At 46.8% G+C, this 23,523-nt stretch overlaps 1 long non-coding RNA gene across 1 annotated transcript in view, besides 1 other annotated feature; it reads left to right on the top strand.

The window, feature by feature from the left end:
- The window catches only part of TMEM72-AS1 (TMEM72 antisense RNA 1), a 148,666-nt gene that overhangs the window by 66,925 nt on the left and 58,218 nt on the right, over positions 1 to 23,523 (top strand). The window lies entirely within an intron of this gene.
- Positions 12,785 to 13,711: an enhancer, noted in NCBI's record as "H3K4me1 hESC enhancer chr10:45374502-45375428 (GRCh37/hg19 assembly coordinates)". NCBI's record gives its function as "activates a minimal SCP1, AML or CMV promoter by ChIP-STARR-seq in naive H9 embryonic stem cells {active_cell/tissue: H9 hESC(naive)}" and the evidence as "EXISTENCE:reporter gene assay evidence [ECO:0000049][PMID:30033119]".

The raw sequence follows: 23,523 nt of genomic DNA, 5'->3' as shown, positions 1-23,523 counted from the left end.
TGAAATAAGCCTGATGCAGAAACACAAATATTGCACATTCTCACTCATACTTGGGAGCTAAAAACATTGATCTCACGGAGGTAAAGAGTAGAATGACAGACACCAGAGACTGTGGAAGGTAGCAGGGAGGAGAGATGAAGAGGGATCGGTCAATGGTTAAAATGATACAGAGAGGTGGAAGGAATAAGTTCTAGTGTTTCATAGCACAGTAGGGTGACTTTAGTGAACCATAATTTATTATGTATTTCTTTTTTTATTATTATACTTTAAGTTTTAGGGTACATGTGCACAATGTGCAGGTTTGTTACATATGTATACATGTGCCATGTTGGTGTGCAGCACCCATTAACTCATCATTTAGCATTAGGTATATCTCCTAATGCTATCCCTCCCCCCTGCCCCCACCCCACAACAGTCTATTATGTATTTCAAAATAGCGAGCAGAGAAGATCTGTAACATTCCCAACACAAATGTTTGGGGTGATGGATATCCCAGTTACCCAAATTTGGTCGTTACACATTGTACGCATATATCAAAATAGTACATGTACCACATAAATATGTACAACCCTGATGTATCCATACAAATTAAAAATAATAAGTTAAACACTAAATGGAATCACCATGGGATCCAGCAATCCCACTTCCAGGTGAAGTTCACTCAAATAAGTCATACACAAAAGGACAAATGTAGTATGATGTGTTTACACTGATATGAAGCTACCTAGAATAGGCAGATTCTTAGGGACAGAAAGTCAGATAGAGGCTGCAGGGACCTGTGGCAGGGGAGGATGCAGAGTTACCATTTAATTGGGACAGAGTTTCTGCTGGGGAAGATAAGACAGTTCCGGAGGTGGATGATGGTGTGATTGCACAACATTGTAGATGTCCCCAATGCCACTTAAAAATTGTTAGAATTGTAAATTTTATGTTATGTACATTTTATTATAAGAAAAAAAGGAGAGCAAAGGCAGCTGTGGGTGAGTTCATGATGTTTCCCCTGAGTTCCAGCAGGTCCCATCTGTGATGTCCCACAGTCCTGTTGCATGGGTAGGGCTGGTGACGTTGCTGGTCCCATTTTATAGATGACTAAACAAGTCACAGGGACATACCTGTGTGTTCTCATTCACATTCCTGTTCATTGTCTGCCTCCCTACACTGGGGTGTGCATTCTGTCAGGGCAGGGACCTGGTGGGGCCGCTCACCCCAGTGTTCTCAGGGCCTGGCACATATAAGATATTTGCACTGAATGAAGACGTGAATGGCACACTTTGTGTGAGGCTGGCCCCAGAGCTAGTAAGGAGCAGGCCCAGAACACTGCCTGGTCCTCCTGCTCTGGCTCTGTATTCTCCAATGCCTCAGGCTGCCTAGAGGGCGAGCAGGAACCGCATACACATGAAGGCCCTTCCTACCACAAACCAGGGAAAATGGCCTCTGAACAGCTGCACTTGGACAACAGGCCTCTGCCTTGGGGTCACCCCATTTTCTTAGCTTGAACTCCTCCCAGCCTCCCACTCCACCCTACTTAGACCTTGTCCCAGTGCTGGCAGGTGTGCCCACACAGGTGTGGCCTCTTCTCCTGTCTCCTCACCTCTGCACCGAGGCATATTCTGCTTCCCCAGTCCTGGGTCAGAGTGGGAAGCTGACCTCATCCCTCCCAGGGTGGCCAAGAGCCAGTAGCTGGCGGGGCACACTTCATAGGGAGGTAGAGCCTGACCCCAGGCTCAACCCTCACCTGTGCAGCCTTCTCCTCCCACATCCTCCTCCCAGGGGGGCCTGTGCCTGGGGTCACCATTGCATCTCCACTTCTCCCCACCCTGGCACAGTGTGCCTGTCTGGTCTGCGCTGGCCACAGATCCAGAGGCTCCTTGCTGAACCTGCAATTGCTGCCCTGGTGGACCCAGTTACACCCCTGCTTTCTGGGTGTGGTGTGGAAAAGGCCAGGAAGATTGATGAGTGGAAGAGAAGGAAGAGGGAAGGAGAGGCCTGTCTCCCACCACACCCATCCTTTTATGAAGTCAGGCTCTCAGAGTGACAGGGAGTGACAGGCTTGTAAAACTGTAAAAACTACTGGGCACAGACATGATCTGCTAGCTAAGCATGTGAGCATCTGTCCTCCAATCTCTTCTTAGCCTGCACCCTGTATTCAAGTTCATGGGCACCATCAGTTTCTTCTGCTTCAGAACAGCCTAAAGCGGCTCATCTCTTCTCAGTCCTGGTCCTTGCTTTAAGCCTTCTGAGGCTTCTAAATTGGCTGATACCATTGGCATCTGCCTGTATCTCAGGCTTAAAACCTCAGGGCCAGCATTTGCTTCTAGTTTTCCTCTAGTGCTTCCCAGTTCAACAGAAGCCCTGCCCTTTCCACCTCCCTGGCTACCACCCTATCGGCTGCTGGGGCCCCAGGGTCTGCCTATTTATCCTCTGATGCGGTGCCATCGACTGCTGGCTGACTGTCTGCCACACGACAGCCAGGGGGTGGCTCAAAAACACAGAATAACCATGTTATTCCCCAGTGTAAGATTTCAACAGCTTTCTAGTTCCCCTGCAGGTCATGTAGGCAGCCCTCATGAAGCTCTGGGACAATAGTGTGCTGGCAGGTAAGTATTTAACAAAAACTGTCCAGGGAAAAAGCCCTTACCTATAGCATTTGCCAATTTCTGTGGTATAAATACTCCTACTGTGGCTGATTTCAAGCCACCCACATGATGTCACTGAGTGCAGGGCTGGGAAGAGATGCCTAGAATCACAATGTTAGACAGCATCTCCCCTGTGTAGTGCAATAGACACTAAATGACCAAGAGCAGAGATAAGAGGAAAACGTAGTCAAATAATTAGGATGTGATGAGTTTGGGGTACTTATTACACTTTATCTAATTTATTTAATTGAAAATAACTTAATGATGGCTTTGTTTAACATCCAGCTCTAAAAATAGCTGAAAATTTAACCATCAGCTCTCACAAGCTAGCACAAGTCAACTGCAGTGCATAACTGCCTGTGACCAAGTTTGTCTCCGTTTTGACTGGGGGTATAGCGAAGGGCCATGGGTTTGGGAGTCCAGCCGAGTCAGCTTGCACATGGACTCTTCTCTGCTTTCCAGTGACCAAGTCCAGCATGGTAGGTCTTGTCCTACTCTAGTTTCTTGAGCAGAATCTCAGGTCCTCCATAAAGTGGTCCTGTCTTGCAGTTCTCAGTTTCTTTCAACTTCAGGAGTCTGTTTACTCCCATATGTGTTTGTGATATAGTTGCAGCAGCCAGAACCAGGCCCTGCCATGGCCTCTGCAGGGTACACAGGCCATGCCCTCCATGTGGCTCTGCTTTCCCTGACCACCCATCTCATTGGCACCATCATTCTCGCAGAGCTGGAAGGCAGAAGCTCTGTCCTGTAATCAGTGTGGTGGGGTGAGCTGGACAGCCTGTGGCCTGGGCTCTGTGTCTGCAGCCCTCTTGCTGTGCTGAATGCACACTGTTGGATGTCACTTGATGGTTCCCTAGAATAAATTAGTGGAGTTAGACTTCTTCCTGCAGAGGAAAATGTATTAGAAACAAAATCAAAGCCCAATCAAACAAAAGAAGCTCTGAGCTTGCACATCAGGTGTATTGTCTCCTGGGAATGCAGGAAGTTGGAAAAGTCCAGGAAGATTAATGAGTGAAAGAGAAGGAAGAGGGAAGGAGAGCCCTGTCTCCCACCACGCCCATCCTTTTATGAGGTCAGGCTCTCAGAGAACTGCTGCTTTTGCTTATGGAGTCAGAACAAGCCCTAGCGACCTTCACACCTGCCTAAGGAGCTCAAGTAGAGTCCACCCTCTGAATCGAGATCACTTCTTTTTCTCCCATGGAGGGGCTTGTGCACGCTTGGTAAAGCCATCCTCAGATTGGGATCCACAGTGAAGTGAGTGCTAGAGGCACAATCCAGAGCCTGAGAACCTGGAGGACAGGCCATCCTGGACACCAGCATGGAGTCAGCTATCCATGGAATTGAGATACAAAGCATCACACACCCAACACTTCATCTCTAATTCTTGCATGCTTTTCATTTGTGGAACCAGAGTGCAGATGGATTTGAAAAGCCCTGGACTCTGGTAAAATGCCATTTGAAATTGTTATATGGTTTTCCATTAGGAGAAGTCCAAGGAATTGGTAAGACTTATGGTGGACATTGTACAGATCATTGCATAATAATTTTTCTTTGCAATTAATTAATCTTCATCTCTGATATTCACTTCAAATATGTGATGATAAAACGGGAAGGGACCCTTGCTTGGGCAAAAACAACAACATAGCTTCTCTTGAAGACTGCTTATAGCAATGGTGCCAGCACAAGGTTTAATGTGAACTGACCTGGTCCTTGGGCCAGGATTCTGGGTCCTTGGTGTATTCCTCAGTCCTCCCGAAGGGCTTCTGACTACCCAGGAGAACTGGTAGGCCCTTTGCAATCTACCCAGACATTCTCCTGGCCCTCTGTATCTTGTCTCTTTGTCTGCCCACCAGCGTGAGCATCCCAGCACCCATGAGCCCTTCCCTGACCACCCCAATAGACGTGGCCATTTATCTTCAATGCTGCCAGAAAATCTCATCCATTTGCTATGGTTGCCCTTATCTCATTGTAATCATCATCATTGTCTCATTGTAACCACTAATATTTCTTTTTCTTTTCTTTTCTTTTTTTTTGAGACAGTCTCGCTCTGTCACCCAGGCTGGAGTGCAGTGGCGCAATCTCGGCTCACTGCAACCTCTGCCTCCTGGGTTCAAGCAATTTTCCTGCCTCAGCCTCCTGAGTAGCTGGGATTACAGGCATCCACCACCAAGCCCGGCTAATTTTTGTATTTTTTTTTTTTTTTTTTTTTGAGATGGATTCTCGCTCTGTCGCCCGGGCTGGAGCGCAGTGGCGCAATCTTGGCTCACTGAAAGCTCCGCCCCCCGGGTTCATTCCATTCTCCTGCCTCAGCCTCCCGAGTAGCTGGGACTACAGGCACCTGCCACCACGCCCGGCTAATTTTTTTTTTTTTTTTTGGTATTTTTGTAGAGATGGGGTTTCACATGTTGGCTAGGATGGTCTCAAACTCCTGACCTCAGGTGATCCGTCTGCCTCAGCCTCCCAAAGTGCTGGGATTACATGTGCTGCTAATATTTCTGAACACTCACAAGATGCTAAGCACAGGGCTGAGCAGTTTCAGCTGTCTGTGTGCCTGACTCCCTCCACCCCTGCTTCTGTGAGTTCCTGGGAGGCAGGAACCATGTTTAATACAACTCAGTCCCCTTTATCTGGTGGCTACCACAATGCTTGGTTTACAGTAGGTGCCCCTAAAAATATTTGTTAAAGGAACTTGCATCATTTGATTTGTAACCATGTGTTTTATAAAATCAATCTCATTTCTATTTACTGCTTGAATAATGGCTTTAGTCCTTTGTCTTTTGCAAGAAGGCCCTTCTCTCCTCTGGAGGGCCGTGTTCCTGTAATAAGTGTAGTGCACTCACAGGATGCTTACTTAGGCCTGCAAGCTTAGTGCAGTTTCTTCTCCCTTCCCAATGGGCTGAGACTGGAGGACTCCATGGCTGGGGCCAGAAGCTGTTTCCTGTGGAGCGGCCCCAGTGCTGATCTTGCTCCTGCTGCCACGGGGCGTGCCACGGGGTGTGGGTGCTTCTGCTGCCCAGCTGGGGTCTCACTCACATGCCTAGGTTGGTATACTTGGATAATCAAAGTTCAATATATGTACCCCATGACAGGGGGATGTCTTTGTTCCTGTTGTTATAACAAAATACCTTACACTGTGTAATCTGTAAAGAACAGAAACTTATTTCTCACAGCTCTTCGAGGCTGGGAAGGTGAAGCTCAAGGCAGTGGCAGGTGAGGGCCTGGTCTCTTTGCTTCCAAGGTGACACCTTGAATGGTGACACCTTGAATGCTTCATCCTCACATGGCAGAAGAGCAGGACAGAGAACAAACTCCCGCAAGCCCTTTTATAGCGGTGCAGTGCTCATGACCTAAATACCTCCCAAAAGGTCCCACCTTCCAAACACTGCTGCACTGGGGATTAAGTTTCCAACACATGAATTTTGGAGGGGACATACTCAAACCATAGCAAGATGTTTACATGGTGATGTTGGAAATTGTGCAGACCCTCAGCTCTGACCTACCTAAGGGACTTGTCAGGGCCAGCTGAACGCAGGTCTATCTTGGGGCCAACAGGTCTGAAGCAGGAGTTGTAAACCCTAGTCTCACTGTACTTCATTGCAAAAGAAAGTTGGAGAAAGTAGAAGTTAATGGATGAGAGAGGACTTCAGGTAGCTTTTTTTCTCCCTAATCAATTGCTTCATAAAATGCATACATGATTGGAATTTCCTGCAGGAGAGAAGGGGGAGGGGAGAGAGAGAGAGAGAGAGAGAGAGAGAGAGAGAGAGAGAGAGAGAGAGAGAGAGAGAGGGAGAACATCACCCTGTAGTCCCCGCCCCATTTTTCTGCTGCCCTTACAACAAAACTCCTGAGTGAGTGGCCTGCATCTGCTGTCTCTCTGTTGTGTGGCGTAGGAAATCCTTCCCTCCCCACCACCGTTGGGGTGTAGAAATGGTATAATTATGTGGCTAATATAGTCAAAGTGTGTTGACTACCTGGATACTTTGGTGTGTAAGGTTGGGTTTTCTGAGTCATCCATAGCTGATGTTGGTATTTAGCAATTTAGAACAATTCTGCATTCACAGAACGCCTTTGGTCAGCCTGTCCCTGCCAGGCTTGGGGGACACAGAGGTGAAACAAATGACTGGACTCCCTGTGTCCGAGGAGTTTCTGATTTAGGAGCTCAGGACTAGAGGGAGGCAGGCACTGGATAGTGATCCGAGAATGCACTGCATAGACGCTGCCTTCAGAGGATTCAGGGAGAGGCAAGGGTAGAGCAGTGTCCGTGTGGGCTTCGAAACCCTTCCTCAGCAAGTCACCACATCTGACTCAGTTCTGGATTTCAGGGCCTGTAGGATTGGGACATGGACCCCCTTCAGTCTTCACAGGCCAGGGCCACCCCTTCCCACTGAGTCACAGACCTCCATATGGTTCCTAGACCCATGATCCCCACTGAGAGGGCTTTTAAAAAATTGAGGTACATACAACACACGATTGTTAAACAAAAATTATAGGAGGCCATTGTTTTGAACTAAACTGCATTAGGCCCCAACAGGCCAGACTAAAAATCAAAATGGAGTCAGCCATGCTCAGAAAACTGAAACTGAGTAATTATCTGGGCTGAGAAATCAGATGAGATAACATCCACATTTCCCACACAGGTTCGCTTTCAATGTTCAGTTGGCGTAATGATGAAGTTCATGCCCTCAATCCTTATAAAAGAGTAACCTGAAGCAACCTGGTGTTAATCAATCTGTTATTTTTCTGTTATTCTGTCCGGGTCCCATCTTATAAGAAAAGTAATGTTGAAATGAACAATGTGCTTTTTGTTCTTTCTTTTTGCTTTTTTCAGCCCTTTCTCTGTCTACAAAACCAACTTCCTCGCCCAGCTCATGGGAACACTTATTCTGTTGTATAGAATGAAGTGTTGCTTGATTCTAGAATCGTAAGTAAAGCCAATTGAGATCTTTATATCTGTTGTAATTTTGTCTTTTGACACAGTAACACGCGTGATTTAAGCCTTCAGTTTGCAGAATTTTGATAATCATTTATACCTGTTTAACTACACTCAAAACAAAATGTGAAACATTGTCAGCCTCTAAGAAGCCCCTTTCTACCCCTTTCCAATTGGCCACCAACAACCATACTTTATTTCAGTCTCTGTGGATTCATTTTGATGATTCTAGATGTAGTATAAAAGGAACCATAAAATATGTACCTTTTTGTGTCTGGCTTCTTAATTTTTTTAAATCTTCAAATATGTACTGAGTTCTTTTTTTAAATTTTATTTTTCCATAAGTTATTGGGGTACAGGTGGTATTTGGTTACATGAGTAAGTTCTTTAGTGGAGATTTGTAAGAACCTGGTGCGCCCATCACCTGAGTAGCATACGCTGCACCATATCTGTTTTCTTTTATCCCTCGCCCGTCTCCTACTCTTCCCCCCAAGTCCCCAAATTCCATTGTATCATTTCTTATGCCTTTGCGACCTAATAGCTTAGCTCCCACATATCAGTGAGAACATATGATGTTTGGGTTTTCATTCCTGAGTTACTTCACTTAGAATAATAGTATCTAATCTCATCTAGGTCATTGCAAATGCTGTTAATTCATTCCTTTTTATGTCTGAGTAGTATTCCATCATATATATATGCCAGAGATTCCTTATCCACTTGTTGATTGATGGGCATTTGGTTTGATTCCATGATTTTGCTTTTGTGAATTGTGCTGCTATAAACATGCATGTGCAAGTATCTTTTTCAAATAATGACTTCTTTTCCTCTGGTTAGATACCCAGGAGTGGGATTGCTGGATCAGATTCACACATTCAGGTTTTCATACCAGTAGTTCATTTCCTTTTATTAGACCACAATTCATTTAGCCATTCACCCATTGTTTCTAGGACTTTTTTGGCTGTTATGAAGAAAATTGCTGCAAACATTCAGGTACAGTTCTCTTTTGTAGACACAGGCTCGTATTTCTTCAGGGGTGAATACGCACAAGTGGGATTGCTGAGTCACAGGGCTGATGGACATTTAGCTTGACAGAAACTAGGAGCTGTGCTCTGATGTGGGGGCGCCCCTGCAGGACCCTGATGCTCACTGAGAGCCAATGCCTTGAGAGTCAGCCAGGTGAACCCAGCTCTGCCTGCGTGGCAAAATGAGAAATATATATTTGGTCTTTGAACCTAGATCTGGCAGAGAGCTCCTAAAACTCTTGGAATTTCCTGAGTGACAGGAATGTTTTCTTTTGTTTTTCATAATGAGCCCCTTTGACTATACCCAAGTTTATTCCAAGGAGGCAATGCCTGGCAGGCCCCGAGACAGCCTCAGGATGGAGCTGGTTGCCAGAGGGACTGGCCACAGGATTAGAGGGTGGGAACTTGCAGCCTGTCTGCTGACCTTCCGGGAAGGAGGAGGATCTGGAGATGGAGTGCAGTCACCAATGGCTGATGATTTAATCATGATGCCTACATAACAAAACTTCAGTAAAATATCGGAAGCAGGAGGCTAATGGAGCTTCAGGGCTGGGGGACACGTAGGTGCACCCAGAGAGGGTGTGAGAGCTCCGTGCACTGACTCCCCATCCAGCCTGCCCGGTGCCCCCTTCCATTCATTTGTGTCTTTAGAATATGACTGTAATTATGAAGAGTGTCCTCCTGAGTCCTGTGAGTCATTCAAGTGCATTGTTAAACCTAAGGGGGAGTCATGGGCACCCCCAAATTTGTAGTTGGCCAGGCAGAAGTGTGGGTGTCCTGGGGATTGCATTTGCAGTTGGGTCTGAATGGGGGCAGTCTTGTGGGATGGAGCCTCACCCTGTGGGGGCTGAGTAACTCTAGGTGTTCAGTGTCAGAATGGAATTGAATTGTTTGACATGCAGTTGGTGTCAGAGAATTGGTATTGGAAAGATGTAATGGCGTTATGAAAACCACATGGGCTCATTCTTAGCACCCTTCCACTGTCCATTTTTTTCTGTGCCCGTTGTTTTCTGAGCTGCCCTTTGAATGACAGGACCTGCTTGTGTTGGGACAGAAGAGTGGTGAGAAAGACCTCCTCGGAGGCCTGGGGCATGTGTGATGCTCCAGTGAAAACAACAGAATCAGGGTGTGAGCAGGCATCTCCGTGGATTTGCCAGACGCAATTTACCAATCTTCTCAGCACAGACTCTTACAAAGACTGCATTCCTGACTATGTCACAGAGCCCAGGAGGGCAGGCAGAAAGCATAAACCACCCGTGTGAGCAGAGGAAAGTGGCGTGGAGAAGTCGTGTAAGAACCCTTTAATGGATATGTAAATGGCATCAGTGAGGGAGACTAAATGGCAGTGGAGTGTTGCTTAGAGGCGTTTTATGCATTTTATGATGTTTTGTGCATTTGAAAATACTGGTAACAGGAAGAGAGGGACCCTATCACAATTCTGGTCTCTCATTATTTGTACATAATAAGCATATCCATTATCGTTATTTAGACCACTTGCTAGTCTGAATTTTTCCAGAAATGATGTTTTCCCAGAATGTCTAGGACTTCCTCTCTCATACTGAGTTGTTGAGCTTGGAGTCTGCTGCAGGTTAGAGTCTGAAGCCAAATTTGTCACGAGGTGTCTCAGCCAGAATACTGAGCTGCTCAGGGTCACCTGCCCAGGAAAGCAGCCAGGGAATTCCTGGGCATTGAGACCACACGGGAACGTGAGCATCTATTGCTAGAGAGCTGTGCAGTGTGGGACAGGCAGTCCGAAGATTTTTGAAAGAAGCAGCTGCACACATTGTCTGTTTCACCACTCATGGGCAGGTGGAAAGCTGAGCCTGGAGAGGTAAAGTTGTTGGCTGGCCACAGGCAGGGGAGGGGGAACCTGCTCCCTTGGGCCTTTGTTGCTGTGCTGGGTGAAGGTTGTGGAGAAGCCTTGCCTCTAGAAAGAGAGGACAGGAAGAGAGCAGTGATGCCTTAGGAAAAGAAAAAACTGCAAGTTACTGAGCACTGACCACGGGCCAACACCTGTCAGTGCTTGATGTCAGCCACAGCCCTGAGGGACAAGGGCATGGAGCCTGGGTCCGTGAAGTGAGCTCTCTCTCTAAGGTTGGAGGTGAAGCGAGGGGGCATGTGCAGTGTGAACTGGGGGCTCTGACTGCAAGTGCTGTCCACCATTGGATCCAGGTGGCTGGGCATACTCTCACTGTCCAGACGATGACTGGATTCGGGGGTCTTTTCTGGTGCCAGATTTCCAGTGTGTGTCGGCAGCTCTGGTTTTTGTTGGTCCCTTATCACCAAAGACCACTTCCCCTTTGCCCTTGTGGGGGATGTGAAGGGTGGCCCTGAATCACGCACTTCCACTTCCTCTGGTCTTCGCTGGAGCTCTGAAAAGGTGTGAACACCAAACACTACTATTCTGGGCTGATGGCGTTCAATCTGGCCTTCTGTGCACCTGGAGCATGGGCAGCTCATCTTGGTCTCGCTGATGGCACTGTTTTCCAGTGGCTGAAGGAGCAGGTGATGCTCTGTTTTGCATGTTCTGTGCTTTCTGCAGACTCCCCTGGTCACACTTGGGCCTGGGAGCTGCATGGTCACCCAGACAGGGCATGTCTCAGCCTGCCAGCCTTGGAAGGAAACATCCCCAACCCATCAGTGAGTCCTTGCCGCATCCTATGACCTTCCGGGTCCCAGGGCCCAGAGCACACCTGCCTCTCATGAGACTTTCCTCAGCTGGGATTTAAGTCTGAATTGCTTAAGAGGAAAGGAGCAGGTCCACAAGGACTCAGAGGCTACAGCAAGTGTCCAGTGAAGCTGTCACATGTGATTAAGAAGAGAAAGAAGCCTGTCCCATGTTCCGGGATGGACTGGTCTGGCTGCTTAAGGCAGCTACGCTGAATAAAATGATATGACAATGCCCCATGTCTTGAAACTTCAGCTTCCTCCTCTTCATCCGGGAGCCTCCACCCTGGTCTGAAGCTGTCCCTTCTATCCTAAGGCCTGCCTTGCCTTCAGAACCCATGGTCTGTCAGGCCTCCCGGTTCCTCATTCCCCCAGATAGAGGTGTGAGGGAGGAGCTCTTCCCACCTTCTGCAGACAGGCAGACTGAGGCTTGAGCATCTGTGGCTTGCTTTTGAGGACACAAGGGAGGTGGGGGGCCTAGCTGGAGCCAGGTCTTTAGATCACGGCTCTGGGCTTTCCGCCCACCTCACCCTGACTCCTCGTCTAGCCTCATCCCCGATTTCCCCATTAGACACCTGCTCTCTACCAGGAGACCAAGCAGGAAGGTTTCCTTAGCACCCTTGGGAAATCTTCTGTTCTTGGGGTACATTTGGAGTGATTTCCAGAACGACACCATCCCCTACCTCCTGATGTCCTCACCCAGGTGTCCCACAGGCATGTCTGTCCTTCCCTGCCCAAAAGGGACCCCACCATCTCCCCCATCAACAGCTCTTCCCTTTATTAGACCCCCACCTCTAACCCAACACCCTGATCAGAGCCTGCTGCTGAGCTTATCCACACACCTGCCTTCCAGTGGCCTCTCCTTCCTCCCAGCTCTCATCCCTCCCTTCTCTTCACTCTTGCCACGCCTCAGGCACTGATCGTTTCTTACCATGACCATTGAAACTATCTCGGACGGGTCCCCCGCTGTGGCATCCCCGCTCCACGTGGCCCTGGGTGCCTTGCCCTCTCTCACTCCCAGTCTTAGGAACCTATTCTGGTAACGTGAGCGATGGGAGTGCACCGGAGTGTGTGAGTTTGCCGGTGGATTTGCAGAGGGCTGGCGAGCCAGGCCTGGAGCTGGCAGGCGTGAGGGGCTCCCTGGAAAAGACGAACCCATCTCCCCCACTTCGCTGTGTCACACCAGGTGTCCACTAGAGTTGCCAACTGTGACAGTGTCCGGAGGTAAGGAGGTGGAGCCTGCCCCAGGGTATGACCTCCCAGGATCCAGGGCAAAGGATTTGAGAGGAGAACCAGGCAATGGACAGGGTCTTTGCTAGTAAGACACAATCAGAGCTAGGAAGGTCCTGCTCATGAGTGAGTGTTCAACTGGGAGAGGGAAGGCCGGGTTGGAGGGGAAGTAAGGTAAATAAAAAAGGAAAGAAGGAAAAGAGAGAGGGAGGGAGGAAAGAAAGAAGGGAGTAAAATGGAGAAAAGGGGAGACTTTAGATTTGAGGTCGTGGCTAGACCCCAGGAAACCCAGCAGGCATGAGAAAGTCTAAAGTGGAGGGTGGGAAGGGGTTCTGGGTGGGAGGTAGTCCTGGGGAAATCCCTTGAGCTGAGGAAGCTTCGCCTGGGGAATTTGAGGGCTCGGGTGTGGACGGGAAAAGATTCTCTAAGGACGCCCCCTAGAGCAACCCTGGACATGAGGAGTGGGGGGAATGAGGCAGAACTGTCCCAGGTGCCCACAGGGCAGCAGCGTCCCCGGGACACCCTCAGACATAGGGAGTGACAGGGACGAGGGAGGATGCAAACAGCTGAGACTGTGGAGAGCCGGCTCGTTTCCAGGCGGTGTTGCTGCCTTCGCCTTGCCAATGAGGACAGTCGGACACAGGGAAGAAGGGGCTCCACCAGCAGCACCCAGCGAGCACCCGGCATGCCTGGGATTCGAGTGCAGGCCTGTCTGATTCTGTAGGGAGGAGAAAATCTTCTTTCCTCTACCCCTCTAGGTTCTCTGGCTGGGGCTCTGAAAGAGACTGACAAAGGCAGATTAACGAGAGAAAAACAGACACGAGTTTATTACCACGTGCATCACGCACACCCATGGGAACGTCCGCAGTGAGTAACTCCAAGGGGCGGCCAGAGCTCGAGCTTTCATAGCACCTCACAAGAGAATGCTTGTTTAGAGAAGTGACAAGACAGAGGAGAAGGGCTTGAGTTTCTGGGGAGGCGCAGGGCGGGAAGGCCACCCTACGGGGAGCTGAGGGAAGGGAAGGGCTTCAGTGGGACCAGGACGTGCTGTGCAGATTCCTCTGGTGCCCTCTCCAGGCTGAGGAGGGGCTCGGGTTGTGTCTGGTGATTAACTCCATCCTTCCCGGTAGAGAGGGTTGGGGGCACACCTTGACAAATTTATGTCCAGCTTTTTGGTAAATAGGTGAGGGCGGAGAGTTTCTCTTGTATCTGCTTCTTCTCAATTGCCGGCAGCTCCACTTAATCCTTATGCCAAAGTGACAGATTTTAAGGTGGCATGTTCCGCTCCCCTTCACTTGCAAAGCACTTTGCTTTCTTCCAAACTGCGTATGCTGTCTGCCTGAATACCGATCTTCCTGCAGCTCAGCCAGGCTGAGGCAGGCGGATCCAACCCCAGCGCGGTGCTTCACGGACATGTGCGCATGCGCACTGGCAGAGAGCTGCTGCGGCACAGGGACTTTTCCTCTCTGCTCCTCCAACGCCTCATCTCTGCCATTGGGTGGTGAGCGAGGAGGCCTCCCCTCCACCTCCAAGCGGCCTTTTCCCCTCCCCAGGCTGCCCCCTCCCAGGTTCCACGCCTTCCCAGCTGTTGACTGCAGGAATGGGTCCCTGACCTGGCTGAGAGGCATGATCACAAGGGTTTGTTCTGTTTTCCAGCACTGCCCTTAACTCAAACCTTGCTGTGCAGCATCTAATTTTGGCTTTCTGACACCCTTCTTTAAAAAAAAAAATTAAATTAAGAAAATGGATACATATTTGTACATATCTATGAGGTACACGTGAAATTTTGTTACATGCGTGTAACATGTAATGTTCAGGCCAGAGTATTGGGGTGTCCATCACCTGGAGCATTTATCATTTCTCTATGTTAGGAACATTAAAAGTCCTCTCTCAGCTATTTTGAAATATACAGGCCTGGCGTGGTGGTTCATGCCTATAATCCCAGCACTTTGGGAGGCTGAGGCGGGCGGATTGCCTGAGGTCAGGAGTTCGAGACCAGCCTGGCTAACATGGTGAAGCCTCATCTCTACTAAAAAAATATATAAAAATGAGCCGGGCATGGTGGTGCACACCTGTGGTCCCAGCTACTGGGGAGGCTGAGGCAGGAGAATTGCTTCAGCCTGGGAGGTGGAGGTTGCAGTGAGCAGAGATTGCACCACTGCACTCCAGCCTGGGAAAAAGAGCGAGACTCCATCTCAAGAAAAAAAAAAAAAAAAGAAATATACAATACATTGTCATTAACTATAGTCACTCAATGCCACTGTCTTTCCTTTCATCTCCTTTCCAGGCCTGACTCCATTTGTCCCACTTTCCAATATTCCATGTGGATAGCCTAGAACCATCTAAGAGATAAGGCACCCAGATCGCAAACCACAGGACTCGGAATTCTCTGCTTGTCTCCTAATTAGAAGCCATTGAAGAGTCAGTGGACTGAATACAAATTAACCATTAGATCAACTGAAAATGTCAAGTTTAGATGAATCTGAGTTCTCATTTAGATATTTTCTGGCTGTTGGCCCAGCCCCACAAATAAATACACATTTGAAAGTTATCCTGTTACTTTGATAAAAGAATTTGGTCTCTTACAAATGATAATTCAGCTCTCAATGTGGCTTAGGTGAACATAGTTTTGGATTTCTTCAAGTAAGATATATGAGCACAGTGTGTATTATCTTTACAACAGATATCCATAATAATTATAGTAACAAAGCCATCTTTCTATATTTCTTTAAAGTTTGTTTTTTCCTTTTAAGCTCCATCCCAGGAATTTGGGCTGTAATTCAGGGACTTGTAGAACCTCACAGTGAGAGAGGAGTGAAGTCCTGTCTGCTTGGATTTATTGCTGTCTTGATTAATGAGAATTGCTAGCTTTTCCTTACTTTTGGAAGGAGGCTGGGAAATGCAAACTTCCCACCTGCCCTTGAAGGAGAAAGGAATCTGGACTGGATACAAAGAAGCTGGTGAGGAGCATTTATCCTGCAGTCCCTGCTAGGTGCAGGGTGCTGGAGCCTGGAGACCGGAGACAGGGGCAGCACCCCGATGGTCGTATACCTGCCAGCCCTGCTGGAGGGGGCGATTAGGGCAGAAGTCTTTCCACTGAGAAGCGGACTGTGCACTGTTGTGGACTGAGCTGATAGGTACCGAGCTTTTGGACACTGTGCTGCTGGAGCAGGGTGGGGGATACAGGGGGAGTGAAAGGAACCAGCCCCCTCAGCAGGCCTGGAAAGACGAGGTGGGTGCCCAGACCCAGTAGGTTGTTGCTCTGCTGGCCCATACTGTAGCAGTGACTTGGCTTGGTAGACCTGGGAGGCCATTGTGTTTTTATACTTACCACAATTCATGCATGGTCTGCCCAATGTGTGGGGTTAGTTCTGCCCGTTGATTCTCTTCCTCTTGTTTCATGGTACCCTTACTGTAAGGGGAGTGACCAGAACTGGCCACACAGTGGGCATCTTCTAGGCACTGTCCTGGCCAGGAGGACAAGGCCGCCTTTTGCACTGGTTCCCCTGTCAGGTCAGGCCTTGGCCCACCACCTGTGCCTTCCATGTCCTCCTTCCTGTACACTCACGCACCCCTCCCCTGGTAACCATGTTGCCTTTACACCCATGAGCCCTGCTGTGGTGCCCTTGCCAGGCACAGTGAGAAACACAAGGGTGACCTGTAGACGAACTGGGCTGATATGGGTGGATCAAGGCCCAGAGCTGTTGTATAGACGCGTCAGAAATACATGCGTATGAGAAGGGAGAGTAATGAGAAGAACCTCATTCACTGGCGAGTGGGGAGGAAGGTGCTGGCAAGAGCCTGGTATGGAGCTCAGACTAGAGGTGGACCAGCCTTGTCTTTAGAGCTGTATGAAAGCTCGAAAGCTGCCCCCACCCCAACTCATTCACCCAGTCACAAAGATAGGTGACCTGTCATCAGATGGCTTCTGTTTCCCGCTAACAGTCTAGTAACACAGATGAGCCCATTCTCCTTAGCACCATTCTCTCCACCACCAACACTTACTGGTCACCTCTGGATACTGGAAGGAAGAGGTGAACTGGAAAGACAAGACCACTCTCTGCCCTCAAGATGGGGCTGTGTCTAGCTAAGTGAGATGTGTGTGTGTGTGTGTGTGTGTGTGTGTGTGTGTATACACATATATGTATAAAGACAACCATATTTATTTGTCTATATGGGACTACATCTCTGCATAAACACTACCATATGCAGGCTCTGAGGTCAAAGTTCATCCTTACCTCAGCTAGACAGGAGGATCCAGCATTTTCTAATTAATAAAATACCTCACAGCTTTCCTTATCCTGCTGTAGTTGGACATGGAATTCTTTTGGTTATTCTGCTTAGGAAAAGTAGCCTCTGCATTAAATGCCAAGCTCTGTAGGGGAGCAAAGCCTATGCTTTGCTTAACACATAGAATGGAATTGCATTAATGTGAGAAAGCATTTCGAAAATGATGGAGTCTGTAGAGATGCTAGGAATTGTTTTCATGATCATTACCTGAAGCTTCATCCTAAAATGTGCTGACTCTTAATTTAAGTATATGCAACCCAAAGTTATCTAGGCCTGTCAGCCTCAGCCTTAAGCTCTAGTCTTAGCACTGTGATGCATGAAGAGAAATGTAATTTCTACTCCAAAAGTGTTTTAAGATAACATAAGATTGGCCGAGCGCAGTGGCTCACGCCTGTAATCCCAGCACTTTGGGAGGCAGAGGCAGGAGGATAACGAGGTCAGGAGATCGAGACCATCCTGGCTAACATGATGAAACTCTGTCTCTACTAAAAATACAAAAAAAAAAAAAAAAAAATTAGCCGGGCATGGTGGCAGGAACCTGTAGTCCCAGCTACTCAGGAGGCTGAGGCAGGAGAATGGCGTGAACTTGGGAGGCGGAACTTGCAGTGAGCCGAGATCGCACCACTGCATTCCAGCCTGGGTGACAGAGTGAGACTCTGTCTCAAAAAAAAAAAGAAAAAAAAAAGATAACATAAGACTTTAATTAAGTCTTTGGAGGGCTGGCATATCAGGGGTGCGACACACAGCAGAAGATTTCCAAAAATCCTCACACATGTGCGCCACTGTCCTTGTCAGCATGGCCTTCTCCTCACCCTTTCATGGGCCACAGTCCCTCTTCTGGCCTCCCCTAAAAGCTCTGGCAGGCCCTCTTTCATGACCACTTCCCATCTACCTCTTCTTATAGCTCTCCTGGTGCCCTGAAGTGACACCTTAGCACAGGGTGAGCCTCCTTGGCATCCTTCAACACCACAAACAATTCAGGACCAGGCTTCCACTGACAGGTGGGGAAAGGTGCTGAGTACTTTATGCCATATTGTTGCCTTTGTGACATACTCTATAAAAGCCACTCAAGTTGGGTCTAAAGTCTTCTTTGATTTGCATGAACTGTAGGTATTAACAGTGGGGGAAGCTGCACCTTAATAACTCTTGGTGAGGGGTCCCCTGTGGAGTCCACCAGGCATGGGAATTTAGCCTCACTTACTGATGAGGAACTGAAGAGTCAGAGGGGCGATTTGACTTGCCCAGATCACAGAGCTCTTAAGGGGGCACAGTCTGGTCTTAAACTCAGTTCTTCTGGCTTCGAGTTGAAGGTCATGTCCACAAACTCCCAGAGCAAGAACTGAGTCTCAACTCTGACCTTTGGATTGTGCGTGCTACACCAGGAATCACAGCTTCACAGGGAATAAATGTAGACTTGTTTCATTGCACAAACTGGTGGCATTTCTACCAGTCATAGTGACTGAGAGATGAGCAGTGCTTTGGCACTCTAACTGGGTGACCCTCATCTCCCTTGTGCCACCTGAGCCCACCCAGGGGAACACTCCCATCCAGCTATCCTGGTCAGGGCTGCATTGAAACCACTGGTTCCTCCAGGACCCAAAGCCGCTTTTCTGGATGGAATGTAAATCATTCCTACCTGGGGCCCTGCCAAGCCTTGGCAGGATTCAATGTGACATTCAGTTCCAGATTAATCCAAGTTGGAACAGTTTTGCTGAAGGTTTAGAGACCTTCAATTTATTTATCTTCTGAAACCCTGAAACAGCTTTAATAACATAGCTTTGGATTTCTGCAAGTGAGATGTATGGGCTCAATAAGTATTATTTTTACAACAGATATCCATAATCATTATAGTAACAAAGGCACCTTCCTATATTTCTTTAAAGTTTGTTTCTTTCTTTTAAGCTTTGTCCCAGGAATGGGGTCTGTAATTCAGGGACCTGTAGAAGTTCACAGTGTGAGAGGAATGAAGTGTCCAATCTGCAATCTGAATCTTCCCTATGAAATTTCCACCTGGTGCCCTCCAGCGCAGATTCTCGCACCCACAGTCCTGCCTTACAGGGCAGACCATTTCCTCTCTGACAGTACTACCTGTCTGAATGTTCTGCTTCAAACTGAGTCAAGATATGTGAACCCTGGGTAGAAGAATTATCAGGTCTGGAGGGAGCACAAGCAAACTATCCCATTTTATGGACGTGGAAACCGAGGCCTGAGGGAGAGACGCACCAGGAATCAGGAGATCTGGCTCTGATCAGCTGTACAAATTGAGAATTGTGACCTGACCTTGTCCAACCCAAGTGGCCCAACTCCTAATTCTGTGAGTGACATGTCTCTGTTACTTTGGAATATTGATTGAAGGTATGTGATTACAACTTTTTATTATAATATTCTGAGACAATTTTTTATTATAATCTTATGAGAAGCTAAGGACTGGGTGGATATTTTCCTGGGTTAAAAGTAAAGTTTTTCTTGTTGAAAACTTAGACATTCAGAAAATTTTCAAATTGTTTTTATTATATAGAAACTGTAGATTAGAAACATATTGTATGATGATTGTTCATGATGCTTCAGCGTAATCACTTCAGCAATGTAGCAATGACGCCATTCAGGGGCGTTTTCAAAGTGTGGCCTTGGGCCAGCACCATCGGCATCTCAGGAAACTCTCACAGGGACAGCCCTGCTCTACTGGATCAGAAGCTCTGGGGCTGGGACCCAGCAATCCATGCTTTAACAAGCCCGTCAGGGGCTTCCTATTCATGCTGAAGTCTGAGACCCACTGTTACGGAATATTGTCTTCCTGATCTTGATAGTGTGATGGTAAATTTTATGTGTCAATGTGGCTAGGATATGCTGCCCAGTTGATTGGTCAAACACTAGTCTAGAAGTTGCTGTGAAGGTATTTTTTAAACATTTAAATCAGTAGACTTTGAGAGAAGCAGATTACCCTTCATCATTTGGGTAGGCCTCATCTAATCAGCTGAAGGCATTAAGAGAAATGACCGAGGTCCCATGGGGAGGAAGGAATTCTGCCTCCAGACTGTCCTGGAACTCAAGACTGCAACATCAACTCCTGCCAGCTTTTCCAGCCTGCCAGCTTACTTTGAAAATTGCCAGCCCCCATGATTGTGTGAGCCAATTCCTAATCTCTTCTCATATATATATATATATATATATATATATATATATATATATATATATATGTATGTATACATATACCGTATGGCTCTGTTTTTCTGGAGAACTCTGATAAATACAAACAGCATTAGAATCCAATCTCAGCAATTTCTCATTTAGCCCAAGCTCAGCTGCACAATCCTTCTCAGTGCAAGACTCCAGACAACTGCTTTCAATAGGCAGGAGCCAGCATAGGCATGCCACTTAATAGCTGTCCAGGACTTAAGATGGTAACTGGGGGCCGAAAAATTTGTAGGTATACCTGATTTGGCAGAAACCATTTGATTTTAGGCTATTCTTTAGAAAATTCTTTATTGAAAAATATCTAGATTTCAGTGGGAAGTTAAAAAATGGATGGATCCGAATTTGAATCCCTGCTCTAACTTACTCTCTAAGTGGCCTCAGGCAAGTCACTTAACCCATGTGATCAATATTTTCTTCATCAATGAAGCAAGCCGGGAGTGGTAGCTCATGCCTGCAACCCCAATGCTTTGGGAGGTTGAGGTGGAAAGATGGCTTGAGGCCAGGAGTTCAAGACCAGCCTGGGCAAGATGGTGAAACCCCTATCTCTACAAAAAATACAAAAAAATGTTGGGCATGGTGGCATACACCTGTGGTCCCAGCTACCCAGGAGGCTGAGGTGGGAGGATCGCTTTAGCCCAGGAGGTTGAGGCTGCAGGGAGCTATGATTGCACCACTGCACTCCAGCCTGGGCAACAGAATGAGACCCTGTCTTTAAAAGAAAAAGAAATGAACCAAAGGTACTAAGGCTTTCCTTCTGTGGTTTTAATAAAGCTTCTAGGTAGCACATCTCAGGTGCCAATTTATGTCAGGCTTATTGTAGGCGCTCGGTGAATAATAGTTATTATGGTTTCAGCTTGCCATTCCCCAAACTGGAGGTATGCCAGAAAGATATTACTGTTAACTGGGAGTCCTAGGTAACTGTTCTCTCTGGTGAATCTGTGATTTACTGTAACACAGTAGAGATAACATGTTTAATTGTAATCAATATAGCAACATTATTATTTGAGCAATGCAGTAGGCACTGACTGGGGAGGGATGCATCCCAAGAATGTGGGAGCCATAGCAGCAGCCCTTGGTGATGAGCAGTACTAAGGCTATGATGAAGGCTGTCAAGGATGCACCCACATTTCATCATAGAAAGAAGCCAGGCAAGCCATGGGCTCTGGGAATTTCTATTAAAACAATATAGACTTTTAAGGGGGGATGTGGGGTACACAATCTATTGGAAATGTTATTTGTCCTACATAATTCTAGGGACATGAATGATGTAGGGAAACAATGTTATCAAACAACACGATTTTCTGTTTCAACTGAGAGGAAGAGTGGCCTATTCAAGTAAGCCCAGATTAATGTGTGAACATAGCTAAAAGGATCAGCATTTTCCTGTTACTTGAACACTCACAGTGCATTCAATTATATTTTAATGAACTTGAAAAACTGAATTCAATAGAAACAGTTTTGGAAGACTAAGAGGCAAAGCTTAATGATGAAGATATTAGAAAAGTTATACAAACTAATAACTACTAAGAAAAGTAAGGTGGTATTCAAAGATTTCCCCTCCTCAAATCCCCAAGCCCGGATGGGTTATAGATGAATCTTACTAAATTTTCAGGAACAGTTAATTGCTAATCTTTATAAGTGGTTCCGTAAGATGGGAAGAGAAAGTTGTGTAGCTCATTTTATGAGTCTAATGTAATTCATAACTCAAGTATCAGATAAGAACAATAAATACAAAGAGAAGAAGACTTCAATTGATTAGTATATCAACATTGAAGGAAAAACTAAATCTTGGCTAAGTGAATCAAATCTTTTGTTAAGAATATATTATAATTAAGTAGGATGCCACCTAGGAATACAAGAGTGACTCATCATTGGAAAAATTGTCATAAAATCTTTTGTTAAAAATATTGCCATATTAAAAGACTACTGAAGAAAAATTACATGGCAATTAAAATTAATACAGAAATAGTACTTTATGAAATTCAACAACTTTTATGATTAAAAAAGCATAGAAAACTAGGAACAGGAGGAAATTTCCCTAACTTGGCAAAAGTTATATTCAAAAAAACCTACCACAAACCTAATATTTAATGGAGAAACATAAGACCCATTTCCTTTGAAATTACAAACAAAATAAGGATGTCCAATGCTATGGTCTGAATGTCTGAGGCCTCCCCAAATTCATATATTGAAAATTTCAAGATAATGGTATTAAAAGGTGCGGCCTTTGGAAGATGATTAGGTCATGGGGGCAGAATCCTCAGGAATGGGGTTAGGGCCTGAGACCCCCTCATCCCTTCTACTGTATGAGGACACAGTGAGACTGTGTGCAGAAAGCATGCCCTCACTAGACACCAAATATTTTAGTGTCTTGATGTTGGAATTCCCAGCCTCCAGAACTGTGAACAATAAATTTCTGTTGTTTATAAGCCACCCAATTTAGGGTATTTTTTATAGCAGCCCAAATGGACTAAGACATCCATTCTAACTGTTTCCGTTTGGCACAGTGTTTGAGGTTCTGGCCAATGTTGTAAAAAGAGGAAAAAAAAAAAGCTGGAAGAGTTGGTGTGTGAGAGAGATTCTAGCTGCTCTATTGAGGGCCAGTGACGGGCAGGGGTGAAGGCGGCGGGGATCGGACCAGACACTAAATCACTCCGGCTTGAGCTGGGTCTGTAGCTATATAGGTGGTGAGAAGTGGTTGGATTTTGGGTAAATTTTGAAGATGTGCTTGACAAATTTGTCAAAGGATTTGAAAGTGGGGAACGAGAAAAAGAGAGGGGCCAAGGGTAATTCTGTGTTTTTTTGGTTTTGTTGTGTGTGTGCTATTTTTAACTCGAGCAGTGGGAATTACTAAGATGGGGAGACAGTGGGAAGCATAGTTTGTGGGAATTTTGAAAATGCCAAGTTTGAGATCTCTACTAGATATTTAAGCAACGATGCCAAGAGGTAGAGAGGACTCTAGGGTTCAGGGAGGAGGTCTGAGCTACAGGGAGACATTTGAGGGTGGTCAGTGTAGAGATGAGATTCAGAGCTATGAAATCCAGTGAGCTCACCAAAGGAGGCGAGTTAGAGAAAAGAAGACTGAGTTTTAGGGCGCTGCCAGTTGAGAGGTTGGGGCAATGTTGGGGGAAGGAGAAAGACCATCCAGGAAAGTATGAGGAAAACTACAGGCACACGGTGTCCCAAAGGACAGGTGGAGAAAGCTTCTGTAGAGAAAACGCTCAGTGATATTTTCTGAGAGTCTGAACACGTGACAAAAGGGAGTGAATCCTTTTCTCCTTCCCTTCCTCCCTTTCTACCTCCTTCCTTCCTTCCACAAGGGTGTAAATTCCTCTGTCCCTCCCTTTCCTTCCTCCCTGCCTCTCCGTCTCCCCTCCCTCCCTCCCTTCCTCCCTCCCTCCCTCCCTCCCTTCCTTCCTTCCTTCTTTCCCTCCTTCCTTCCTGTCTTCCTTCTTTATGAATGTTTACAGCTTTGTTTAGGTATAAACAACACAGAATAAATTGCACATGTTTAAAGTGCACGATCTAAGTTCCGACATATGTCTACATCTAT

This window comes from Homo sapiens, chromosome 10, assembly GCF_000001405.40.
Source record: "Homo sapiens chromosome 10, GRCh38.p14 Primary Assembly".
In the NCBI taxonomy this organism is placed as follows: Eukaryota; Metazoa; Chordata; class Mammalia; order Primates; family Hominidae; genus Homo; species Homo sapiens.
Note: the sequence above shows the minus strand (reverse complement) of the source record. Positions and strands in the feature narration are given on the sequence as shown.